The sequence below is a fragment of the Homo sapiens genome, chromosome 1, assembly GCF_000001405.40.
Source record: "Homo sapiens chromosome 1, GRCh38.p14 Primary Assembly".
Lineage (NCBI taxonomy): Eukaryota > Metazoa > Chordata > Mammalia > Primates > Hominidae > Homo > Homo sapiens.
The window spans coordinates 62,718,625-62,731,273 of NC_000001.11; positions in this window are offsets into that span (position 1 = coordinate 62,718,625).

Sequence of the window (12,649 nt, forward strand, 5' to 3'; positions counted from 1 at the left end):
AAGAGAGAGGGAGAGAGGGAAGGAAGGAAGGGAAGGGAAGGAAGGAAATGCAGGAACATGTTCTAGCTAGCTTAAGCAGAAAAGGAATTTATTTATTCATTATTTATTTATTGAGACAGAGTCTCATTCTGTCACCCAGGTTGGAGTGCAGTGGCGTGATCTCGGCTCACTGCAACCTCTGCCTCCTGGGTTTGAATGATTCTCCCTCCTCAGCCTCCCGAGTAGCTGGGATTATAGGCACCCACCATCACACCCGGCTAATTTTTGTATTTTTAGTAGAAATGGGGTTTCACCATGTTTGCCAGGTTGGTCTTGAACTCCTGACCTCAAGCGATCTGCCCACCTCAGCCTCCCAAAGTGCTGGGATTACAGGCGTGAGCCACTGCATCTGGCCAGGAATTTATTAAACACCATTAAATAATTCACAGAATTTCCTGGGAGGTGTAAAAACCAGGGTTGTAAGAGGCCAAATTACGTCACAGAACACCGGGAAACCATTACTGCCTCCACTACTGACATTAATGTGAGATACGAACACTTCTAATAGAACCTCTGGTACTGTTCCCTGGGAATCTAGATGCACTTTCTAGTTCCACCTGCTTCTTCATCTCTCTAGCCTTCACTTCAAAGCCTGGTGCAAATGTATATGATTAGAGGAGCCTAACTGCAAGGGAGACTGAGAAAGTGAAATTTGGCTTCTATTCAGTAGAGAAATCATCAAATATAACAAGAATATTCAAAGGTGCTGGGCAGCCAAAAAGAATAACAAAGATGTACTACTCTACCCCAGTTAGCCTCTCAACTCCTACTGATCTGAGCCAGGTTTTCAGCAGATTGAAGTAATTCACTCCGAATTGTGGATGACTGATGGTTTCTCTCTTTTTTTTTGAGACGGAGTCTCACTCTGTCGCCCAGGCTGGAGTGCAGTGGCGCGATCTTGGCTCACTGCAACCTCCACCTCCTGGGTTCACGCCATTCTCCTGCCTCAGCCTCCCGAGTAGAAGGGATTACAAGTGCTCATTTTTTTGTATTTTTAGTAGAGACGGGGTTTCACCATGTTAGCCAGGATAGTCTCGATCTCCTGACCTCGTGATCCGCCTGCCTCGGCCTCCCAAAATGCTGGGATTACAGGCGTGAGCCACCACGCCTGGCCAAGGATGACTGATGGTTTCAACTCCACATGAACATCGATGCTTTAAAAGAGTAGCTTATTAACCCAAATAAACTCCCAGTTGTTAAAATATTTATATGGTGGAAAATACTTTTAAAATAAGGGAACATATAGTGTTTCTTTTATTTCTTCTTAAAAATGGGACCAGGTGCTGTGGCTCACGGCTGTGATCCCAGCACTTTGGGAGGCTGAAGTGGGAGGATCACTTGAGCTAGCCAGTTCTAGACCAGCCTGGGCAACATAGTGAGACCTCATCTCTACAAAAAAATCAAGAAAATTAGCTGGGCGTGATGGCACACATCTGTAGTCCCAGTAACTGAGGAGGCAGAGGCTGGAGGATCACTTGAGCCCAGGAGGTCAAGGCTGCAAGTGAGCTGAGATTGCGGCTGCACTCCAGCCTGGGTGACACAGTGAGACCCTGTCTCAAAAAAGTTTCTTTTTTTTTTTTTTTTGAGACGGAGTCTCATTCTGTCGCCCAGGCTGGAGTGCAATGGCGCCATCTTGGCTCACTGGAACCTCTGCCTCCAGGGTTCAAGCAATTCTCCTGCCTCAGCCTCCTGAGTAGCTGGGATTACAGGTGACACCACCAAGCTAATTTTTGTATTTTTAGTAGAGACGGGGTTTCACCATGTTGGTCAGGCTGATCTCTAACTCCTGACCTCGTGATCCACCCACCTTGGCCTCCCAAAGTGCTGGGATTATAGGCATGAGCCACCTAGCCCGGCCAACATTTCTTTAAAAAAAAAAAAAACAACTTTACTGAACTTTGATTAACATACAAAAAACTGCACATAATGTATACAACTGGATAAATCATTAATTCTTTATTAAATACACATTTTATTGAGCTTATAATGTGCCATACAGTAGATTCGGTATTGAGGAAACCTGGTCCATACCCTAAAAATTCAATAACCTCATAAGGGACAGAGAAAAGTTAATATATATAAAGCAACATAATAAATGCAGAAAACAGTGATATCTGTGTGGGCGTGTGTGTGTGTATACACAATTCATAAAGGGTCTTTTATATTATGCTTAAGAATGTGGACTCCTTGGTAGCTTATATTTGCATACTATCCACGCGCACTTTTTTCTCCTTTGTAAGAAATAGGCTCTGAACTCCATGGGGTGCAATAGAAGCAAGGAATCATTGATAGGAGGGCCAGCACTCCTCCAGAAGTATTCAGAACTGTAATCAAGAATCCTCAAACTGGGAGGGCCTGTGGTTACTTTATGAACTATGTGTCAGTCCTGCAAACCTCACAGCCTGAATTACCACTGAGCGTTATCTGAATACAGGCTGCCCTTGAAGTCCCTAATTTCATTGCGCTGACAGAGGCTTTAGTGAGTCTATAATTGGAAAAGGAAGCATTTGTGCCTCAGGTACAGGAAATCACCAAACAATTAACTTCCATGGACTCATGCAGCCTGGGCCAAATGCCTCAGTGTGCTTGTCTTTGTTTCATGTCAGGTTATTGAGGAAATGTTTCGCAGGCCAGAATCTTGGCTTTACTGTGTTGTTTTGTCAATGGAGTCAGCTGTGAGACCTTAAACAGTGATAACTATCTATAGTAAAATCTCAATATAGCACTCAGAGGTCTACCACAAGGAAGGGAGGTTTTCAGAGGGGGCAGAAAGTTTTATCTAAAATACATGTAATTTGGCTATTCAGAGGTGGGAAGGGCCACTTAGACGAGAGAAAAACTAGTGTGGTAAGAAAGGGAAAGGGAAACAGTTATTACATGTCATGGCCAGGGAAGGCAAACCCCTCAGAGGCAGGGAAGCTGGTGTTGGACACAAGGCCAGCCTTATGGGTAGGCAGAGACAGTTGAAGGGCACTAGAAAGATTTCCCTGACCCAGAAAATGCCTCAAAGGAAGTGACAGAAAAGGCCCCTGGAGGAAAAACAGAAAAACACAAAATGAAGTGATAGGACAGCAAGGATGAGCTTCCTTCCCCAAAGTCACAATATTTTCCAAGAAACCATTTTGGATAACTCATTTTGCTCATTGAAAAAACTGTATTCATACTATGGGCAATGTCACATATTAAGAAATTGGCGGCCGGGCGTGGTGGCTCATGCCTGTAATCTCAGCACTTTGGGAGGCCAAGGTCGGCAGATCACGAAGTCAGGAGATCGAGACCATCCTGGCTAATGCTAAAATACAAAATACAAAAATACAAAATACAAAAATACAAATACAAAAAAAAATACAAATACTAAAAATACAAAAAAATAGCCAGGCATGGTGGCGGGCGCCTGTAGTCCCAGCTACTTGGGAGGCTGAGGCAGGAGAATGGCATGAACCTGGGAGGCGGAGCTGGCAGTGAGCAAAGATCACGCCACTGTACTCCAGCCTGGGCGACAGAGTGAGACTCCATCTCAAAAAAAAAAAAAAAAAATTGGCATGTAATTATTACTATTACTGTTATTTTTAATGAAGAAGGCAATAGAAGCTAAGGGCACAGGTTTGAGATTAGACAGACCCGGGTACAAATCCTGGTTTTACCACATACTAACTGTGTGACTTTAGACAAGCTACTTAATTTCTCTGGTATCACTTTTGTCGTCTGAAAAATGGGAAGAATCATTCATTCCAAAATATTTGCTGAGCAGCTACTACATAAAAGGACAAATAAGATCCCTACCTTCCAGAAGCTTGTATGTTAGGAGTATGGAGGGAGAGAAAGACAATAAATAAGTAAATAAAAAGATGATTTTAGATTGTGATAAATACTGTAGAGGATATATAGTTTTCAGTGTGTGCACGCGAATTAGACTGCCTGGGTTCAAATCTCGGTTATGCTATTTACTAGCTGTGTGATCTTTGCAAGTGACTCAATCTCTGTACCTCGGTTTCCCCATTTGTAAATGGGCATATTAATAGCATCTAATTTATAACCTCATGGGATTATTATGAGGATTAAATGAATGCATCCATGTAAACTGCTTAGAACTGTGTACACCACATAGTAATTGCATAAGAGCTATATACTAATACTATGAAGAAAATAAATTGGAAGATATGATGATAAGTTGGGAGAGTGGTATTTAAGACAGGGTAGTCAGTGAAGGACTTCCTGAGGCTGTGATATTTAAGCTGACACTGAAAGAATGAGAAAGAGCCAGTCATTATTAGAGTATTTCAGGAAGAGGAAGACCTAAGTGCAAAGATCTAAGGCAGAAAGACTCTTCACATATTTGAAAAAGAGAAATGAGACCTGTGTGGTAAAACATAGTGAGCAAGAGAGAAAGCTGCATTGTAATTATTTTCTACTTCTGCATAACAAATTATAACAAATTGAACATCCTCTTACTAGCTCACAGTTCTATAAGTCAGAAGTCTAGGTGGGAATGAGTGTGGTGGCTCATGCTTTAATCTCAACAATTTGGAAGGCCAAGGTGGGAGGATCGCTTAAGCCCAGGAGTTTGAACCCAGCCTGGGCAACATGGTGCAACCCCAACTCCACAAAAAAAATTTTTTTTCTTAATTAGCCTGGCCTGGTGGTACACGCCTGTAGTCCCAGTTACTTCAGAGGCTGAGGTGGGACAATCACTTGAGCCCAGGAGGTTGAGGCTGCAGTGAGCCATGGTCATACCACTGTATTCTGGCCTGGACAACAGAGCAAGACCCTGTCTCAAAAAAAGAAAAAAAAAAGAATAAATCTAGTGGCTGGACCTGGTGGCTCATGCCTGTAATCCCAGCACTCTGGGAGACCAAGACAGGATTGCTTGAGCTCAGGAGTTCGAGATCAGTCTGAGCAACACAGTGAGACCCTGTCTCTACTAAAAACACACACAAAAAAATTAGCTGGGCATAGTGACACATGCCTGTGGTCCCAGCTACTCAAGGGGCTGAGACACGAGGATCACTTGAGACAGGAGGTTGAGGCTGCAGAGAGCCCTGATCATGCCACTGCAATCCAGCCTGGGTGACAGTGTGAGACTTTGTCAAAAAAAAAAAAAAAAGAAGAAGAAGAAGAAAAAAAAGAAGAAATCTAGGTGGGCTTGGTTGAGCTCTCTGCTTAGGGCTTCACGAGGCTGAAATCAATAATTTAGCCAGGCTGAGCTGTTATGATTCAGATTTACTATATGAGATAATAAATGAATAATGTTTTAAGCCTTTAATAAATGACTTACATTTTAAACCCCTCAGTTTGTGGTAATATTGTTACACAGCAATAGATAACTAATACAACTTAAGTGTAGGAAATATCACATTTCATTATTTTCTAGATTAAATTAAATCCCCCGAGTCCATTAGAGTGGATAATTTAATCAGTTATTTTTAGAATGCTCTAAGGCTTACATCATTCAGGAAAACCGATGTGGGGAAGAGTGTATACTGAGTCCTGAATCCACTGATTTGCTGGTAAAACACACATTGTCCAAATCTATATAGTCTATTCAAAGGTGGCTGCCTCTATTGAAGACAACAGCTACTCCCTCTGTGCCAGACTTGGCCATGGAGACCTTCATTCCAGAGGGAAGGCTGGAAGCTTAGTGCTCAGTCCCCAGGTACACACAAAGCCATGCCTATCAAAATTCCTGCTATTTCCAGGCCACCATGAGGAAGCAGAGTATAGATCCCCACAGCTGGAGGAGCTACCACTGCCCGTCTTCCTACTCTGGAAATCTTTCTCTGCTCCAGCTTCTTCTGTCTTAACGTCAGTCCAGCAAGTCTCCAAGACCCTAGATTTCAAAAGCAACATTCTCTTAACTAAGGAATCCTAGACCTTAACAAACAGAACACCAAGTACTAAGCTATTCTATCCTGCGAAAGGGAGGAAAAATGCTCTCTTATTTTTGGGATGATTCTATAGCAACTAGAAGTCATTTAATTTGCCACACAGTCAACCAGGGCAAAATGAAAACACATGTTCAATCACAAAGTGTTCATTACAGTGAAAGATTTCATTTCCTCAAGAAATGCAGGACTCCTCATAGCTCTAAGTGCTACAGGAGACTTTTCTTTCCTTGTTTTTTTTTTTTTTTTTTTTTTGAGATGGAGTCTCTCTCTTGTTGCACACGCTGAAGTGCAATGGTGCAATCTCTGCTCACTGCAACCTCCGCCTCCCGGGTTCAAGTGATTCTCCTGCCTCAGCCTCCTGAATACCTGGGAATAAGTAGAGACAGGTTTTGCCATGTTGGCCAGGCTGATCTTGAACTCCTGACCTCAAGTGATCCACCTGCCTCAGCCTCCCATAGTTCTGGGATTACAGGCGTGAGCCACCATGCCTGGCTTACAAGCTTTAAAAAAAAAATCTACCACTGCAGTCTTGGCTGTTAGCTTTCTGAGGTTCTTTTATTTTTTCCCATTGAAATGCACTGGACAACATTCCAAATTACCTACTAAACCAAATCCAAGTTCTTCCACCACAGAGATACGAATTTATTTTTACAGCAGTTAACAAAAAAAAATTCCCCCTTTTTTTTCTTTTGCCATTTTCTCTGATAATGCTGTATTATTCCTCCCACTCAACAGCCAAGAAAGACAACCCAACTACTTCCTCCTCCAACATACAGGAAAGAATAGAAACAATTCTATCAGCTCCAGCTGGGGCAGCACAAATGCCAGGAAGCTTTTCTTAGATTTTTGAATCCTACGTGACTCTCACTTTAGGTGCTTTCCAAAATTTTGGTTTCATTTTTCTTGAATTCTGTTCTGCAGAAACTCTCAATTGTCTAACACTGGTGGCATTTAGTAATCTTTGCCAAGTTTAATTCCAATCTAGTTGCTTGGAAGATTTCAGTGACCTAAGAAGAAGGTTTTGTAAACCTCCTTGTTTTGTGCAATGGGAATTTGTTCAGCAAGTAGGAGTCAGGATCCCTCCCTATCTCTCAGCAAAATAGGTTGTGTTATTTCCTTTTATTTCAAAATATACTGGGGTTTGTTTTAAGACAACTTTTGAGTCCCACTATTGCTAATGATCAGTTGTATGCTTTAGGCAAATTCACAAAACTTTCTAAACCTTGGTATCTTCATTTGTAATGTTAGGATAATTCCTTCTTTATACAGTTGTTGAAAAAGCTACTGGATTTAAATCCGGGTTTTATAATGAGCATAATGTGTGCTCATTAAATGGTAGACATTGGTTCTTCTTTATCTGATTTTTCCCAACTCTGGTTTACTGTCATTTATCTTAAGTAAAAATCTTGTAGCCACAAAGCAAGTAACCAGCTCCCCTGTCCAACATTAGTGTCAGAAAATGTTGGTGCCTCTGACAAATAGAAAATCTAATGAATAGGGTACTGTTTTAGGAAGAAGGAGATCTGGCTTTCCCCCTGGGCTTACTGCAACAAGTGACTTAACTTACAAAGCAACCATGAAAATGAGCATTGTGCCTCAAGAAATAAACCCTCTCACTCTTTTTCTTGGATGTGTGTTGCATTGCCATGGGATTGTTTTCAGCATTAGGAGGCTCTGCTACAAGTTCAGTTCAGGTCAGCAAACTTTTTTTTTCAGGGCTTCATCTGTATCAGGACTGTGCTTGTTATCAGATATAAAAACGAAGAAGGCAAAATTCCTGAGCTTTCATTCACTTGCTCAGTAAATGTTTATAGAGTGCCTACTAGGTAATAAAACTGTGAGTCTTGAGGAATCAAACAGAAAAAGTTACTGCCCTCGTGGACTTTATAATATAGAGAAGATTATAGACAGTGTTGCACTGATAAATGTTTAACAACAACCAGCTCTCCAAAAAGAAAAAAAAAAAAGAAAGAAAATCCAATTCTTTTCTTTTTCTTTCTTTTCTTTTTTTTTTTTTTTTTTTTGAAACAGAGTCTCACTCTGTCGCCCAGGCTGGAGGGCAGTGGCATGATCTTGGTTCACTGCAACCTCCGCCTCACGGGTTCAAGTGATTCTCCTGCCTCAGCCTCCTGAGTAGCTGGGATTACAGGTGCCCGCCACCAGGCCCAGCTAATTTTTGTATTTTTAGTAGAGACGGAGTTTCACCATGTTGGCCAGGCTGGTCTCGAACTCCTGACCTCGTGATCCGCCCACCTCGGCCTCCCAAAGTGCTGACATTACAGGCGTGAGCCACCGCACACGGCCATTCTTTTCTATCTGTTTGTGGCCTCTTTTTTTTTCTTTTTGGAAATGTTTAGGAACTTTTTTTGTCCCTAGTAAATAACATTTCCCATCTTTTGCTCTGGTGTGGGTATTTTAAAGTCTATTATGCTGAGCACAGCATGCTGTTTTACTCTAGAAAGTCAATACAGTTGTGGAAAATTTTCCTGCATTTGATTATCACCTCCCCTCTGTTTTCTCTATTCTTTCTTTCTGAAATTCTTATTATTTAGATGCTGAAGTAAGTATTTTTCTTATCTTTTCTATTTTCTGTCTCTTTTTCATTTTCTTTTCTTTTCTTTTCTTTTTTTTTTTGAGACAAAGTCTCATTCTGTCACCCAGACTAGAGTGCAGTGGCGCAATCTCGGCTCACTACAACCTCTGCCTCCCAGGTTCAAGCTATTCTCATGCCTCAGCCTCCTGAGTAGCTGGGATTACAGGCACGCGCCACCTCTCCCGGCTTATTTTTGTATTTTTGGTAGAGACACGGTTTCACCGTGCTAGCCAGGCTGGTCTCAAACTCCTGACCTCAGGTGATCCACCTGCCTCGGCCTCCCAAAGTACTGGGATTACAAGCGTGAGCCACTGTGCCCGGCTTTCATTTTCATTTTTATATTTTGGCTCTACTTTCTCAGAGATTTCCTCCAATTTTATTTTCTAATTCCCCCCATTCCTGAGCTTTTGGGGTGATTCACAGCATGAATCAGCTTGTTATTACCCTCCTCCTCTTCAAGTTTAGATCTGAATTTTCTCTAGATGGGAATATTTGTTCTCACTTATTCCCCTGCTTCCATTCTTCAAATTTTGTTATGTTGTCTCCTCTCCCTTTCTGTTGGTCATTTTTGGCTTATACCTTTTTTGAGGTCACATTACTGGGATTTCAGGAAGAACCAGTGGTGAAGGCACATTTTTAATCTACCATGCATAATAAGGTCCTTTATTTCTTGCCATTTTCATTCCTACTATAACAGTCATACTTCTCAAGGCAGCATAGATACCTCTGAGTTACAGGCAAAAGATCAAGTGCAAGAAAGTGATGTAGGACAGGCAAGCACCAAAGTGGAGCTTAGCCAGAGAGGGTTCTTGGCCTTGCCCAGAAAAGAATTCAAGGGTAATCCAGAGAAAGAAGAAAACAGCTTTGTTGAACAGTCAGTGTTACAGCTCGGTGACTGCTCCCGCAGAACAGGGCTTAGAGTAGCAGCTCGGGGTAGTTTTGCAGTCATATTTATACCCACTTTTAATTGTATGCAGATTAAGGGGCAGTTTATGCAGAAAAGGGGTAGTAACTGTTGAATGGTTAGGTACCATGGAAAGGGGTGATAACAACCCTGGTGTTGCCATGGCAACGGTAAATTGACATGGCACACTGGTGGGTGGGTCTGATTGAAAACTGCTTTCTCCTTGGCAACACCAGGGAGAAAGTGTGAAAAAGTGTCTTGGCTAGTCCTCAGTCTAGTCCAGTATCCAAGTCCCACCCCTAGAATCAAGTCCCGCCTCCTACCTTAAAAGTACAGAGGAGAAAAAGCACAAATATTAATATTTCAAGATATTATAACATTTCCAACAGTGCTGGAGCCAGCTCATACTGGCTCATAAGAATAGATGGCTTATATTCAGGAATTTTATGAGACAGTGGTTAACCATTATTAAAAATTAAATAAACAGAATATTTATTATAACATAATGAAATAAATTATATTAAAAACAGACAATACTCAAAACTTATCACTTCCTAATTATTGTAGTGAATCCTACTATTATCTATCTTCTTGAGGTTCTTTACATCTATCGTGTCTGTATCACAGAAATATTATATAATGGTGTTCCATATATTTATTTATAAATAAATAAATTAAATAAAACAAAACCAGGTATTATTCCGGCTGTCAAAAAACATTTGCCTCTAAACTTTCTTTTTTTTTTTTTGAGACAGAGTCTCGCTCTGTCACCTAGGCTGGAGTGCAGTGGCACGATCTCGGCTCACTGCAACCTCTGCCTCCCAGGTTCAAGCGATTCTCCTGCCTCAGCCTCCCCAGTAGCTGGGATCACAGGCGCATGCCATCACGCCCAGCTAATTTTTTGTATTTTTAGTAGAAATGGGGTTTCACCGTGTTAGCCAGGATGGCCTCCATCTCCTAACCTTGTGATCTGCCCGCCTTGGGCTCCCAAAGTGCTGGGATTACAGGTGTAAGCCACTGCGCCCAGCCTGCCTCTAAACTTTCAACCTATGCATGCCAAGGTTCAAAACCCTTCTGAAACAATTGATTATTGTTCTACATCCTTCACTAAACCCTTCCACACCACATCCATCCGAGCTGGGCTTAATGCCCCTCCTACACATTCTTAGCATATCATTCCTACCTACCACCTTTGTGTTAAAATGATCTGCTTATCGGCTTCTCTTTGGCTAAAGCTAAACTGTAAGCTTCTGTATGGAAAGCCTCCACAAACCCCAGATGAGACTGAATTTCCCTATTATAATTGTCCACAATTCCCTATAGTTTGGCTTTATAATACTTATGCGTGTGATTATATTTGTAACAGGAATAGCAATTAACGCTCTCTAGTCTTACATACCCATTAAGGCTGAGGCTTTCTTTCACACCCCTCAGTTTCCTCACAGCATTCCTTTTATTTTCAAAAGATTGCTTGAAAAAAAATGTTGAATGTTTCTTCCTCTTTTATTTAAAACAATAGTTTATATTTGTACAGAGTTTTTAAAGTTACATAATTCTATGAAGCTTATAATGAAAAAAGCAGTACACTGTTTCTCCTTTTCTACCCCCAATCCCCAGTACTCAAAGGCAACATTTAAAAGATTTTATTAGTTGTTTCTTCTCATACTTGCCTCTGTCTTCCTAAATAACATTCTTGTATTGCTGCTATTTGGAGATTGTTCAGTTTCATATATTTTGGCTTCCTGCTATGGAAGATGAAGATTAAGCTCTCTTATAATGCTCCCAACACCACACCCCATCACAAACACATTCACATACATTCTTTTCCTCCTCCATTTCTCCCTATATAATTACATCATTGCACAACTTTTGGTTAATTCAACATGACCATACATTGTACAATGACTACATTTCCTCTTTTATACAATATGTTTTGGTTTTCCCGGAATTAATAATTGCCTATATTGTTTGCTTACTTTTCTATGTACCTATAACTAATTCATCCTCAAACATTCCTCGAGAATTATAAATTTCCTTTCATAATGTTAAAATACATTGGTTGTTTCTTATTTTCATTCATTTTGTGACAACATCCTTCTTGGAGGTCTCTGTTAACCCTGCCCCCAACGTGAACAGATTGCTTTCTAGAAATGTTTTGCAGGTGTCACTCTAGGATCTCCTGCATGCTCCTCCTGAGGAGTCAGTTCTCCTGCTTCTGTTGGAGTCCCTATTTTCTGGATCCTCTTTCTTTTATGTTTGGCCTTCTTGCTTTGTGCTTCCATTCTCCAGTAATTCCCAAGAAAGAGTACATGTTGGGTATAATTTTAAGAACACAGACATCTGTAAATGTCTTTCTTCTACACTTGAATTAAAGCTTGGCTACATTTAGAATTCTAGGTTGAAACCATTTTCCTTGGAATACTGAAGATATTGCTCCATTGTCTTCTCACCTGAAACATTGCAAACTGATGGTGTGTGAAAGAAAGCCTCAGCCTTAATGGGTATGTAAGACTAGAGAGCATTAATTGCCATTCCTGTTACAAATATGATCACACGCGTAAGTATTATAAAGCCAAACTATAGGGAATTGTGGACAATTGTAATAGGGGAATTCAGTCTCATCTGGGGTTTGTGGAGGCTTTCCATACAGAAGCTTACAGTTTAGCCAGAGAAGCCGATAAGCAGATCATTTTAATGCAAAGGTGGTAGGTAGGAATGATATGCTAAGAACGCGTAGGAGGGGCATTGAAAGCGCAGCCCGGATGGATGTGGTGTGGAAGGGGTTAGTGAAGGATACAGAACAATAATCAATTGTTTCAGAGAGGTTTTGAACCTTGACATGCTAGGTTGAAAGTTTTGAGACAAATGTTTTTGACTGTCAAAATAATATCTGAGTTTGCATTATTTTATTTTATTTATTTTTGAGACGGAGTTTTGCTCTTGGTCTCCTAGGCTGGAGTGCTATGGCGCGATCTCGGCTCACTGCAACCTCTGCCTCCCGGGTTCAAGAAATTCTCATGCCTCAGCCTCCCGAGAAGCTGTGATTACAGGGACCTGCAACCATGCCTGGCTAATTTTTTCGTATTTTTAATAGAGACAAGGTTTCATCGTCTTGGCCAGGCTGGTCTTGAACTCCTGACCTCAGGTGATCCACCCACCTCAGCCTCCCAAAGTGCTGGGATTACAGGCGTGAGCCACCACGCCCAGCCTTATTTATTTGTTTTTGAG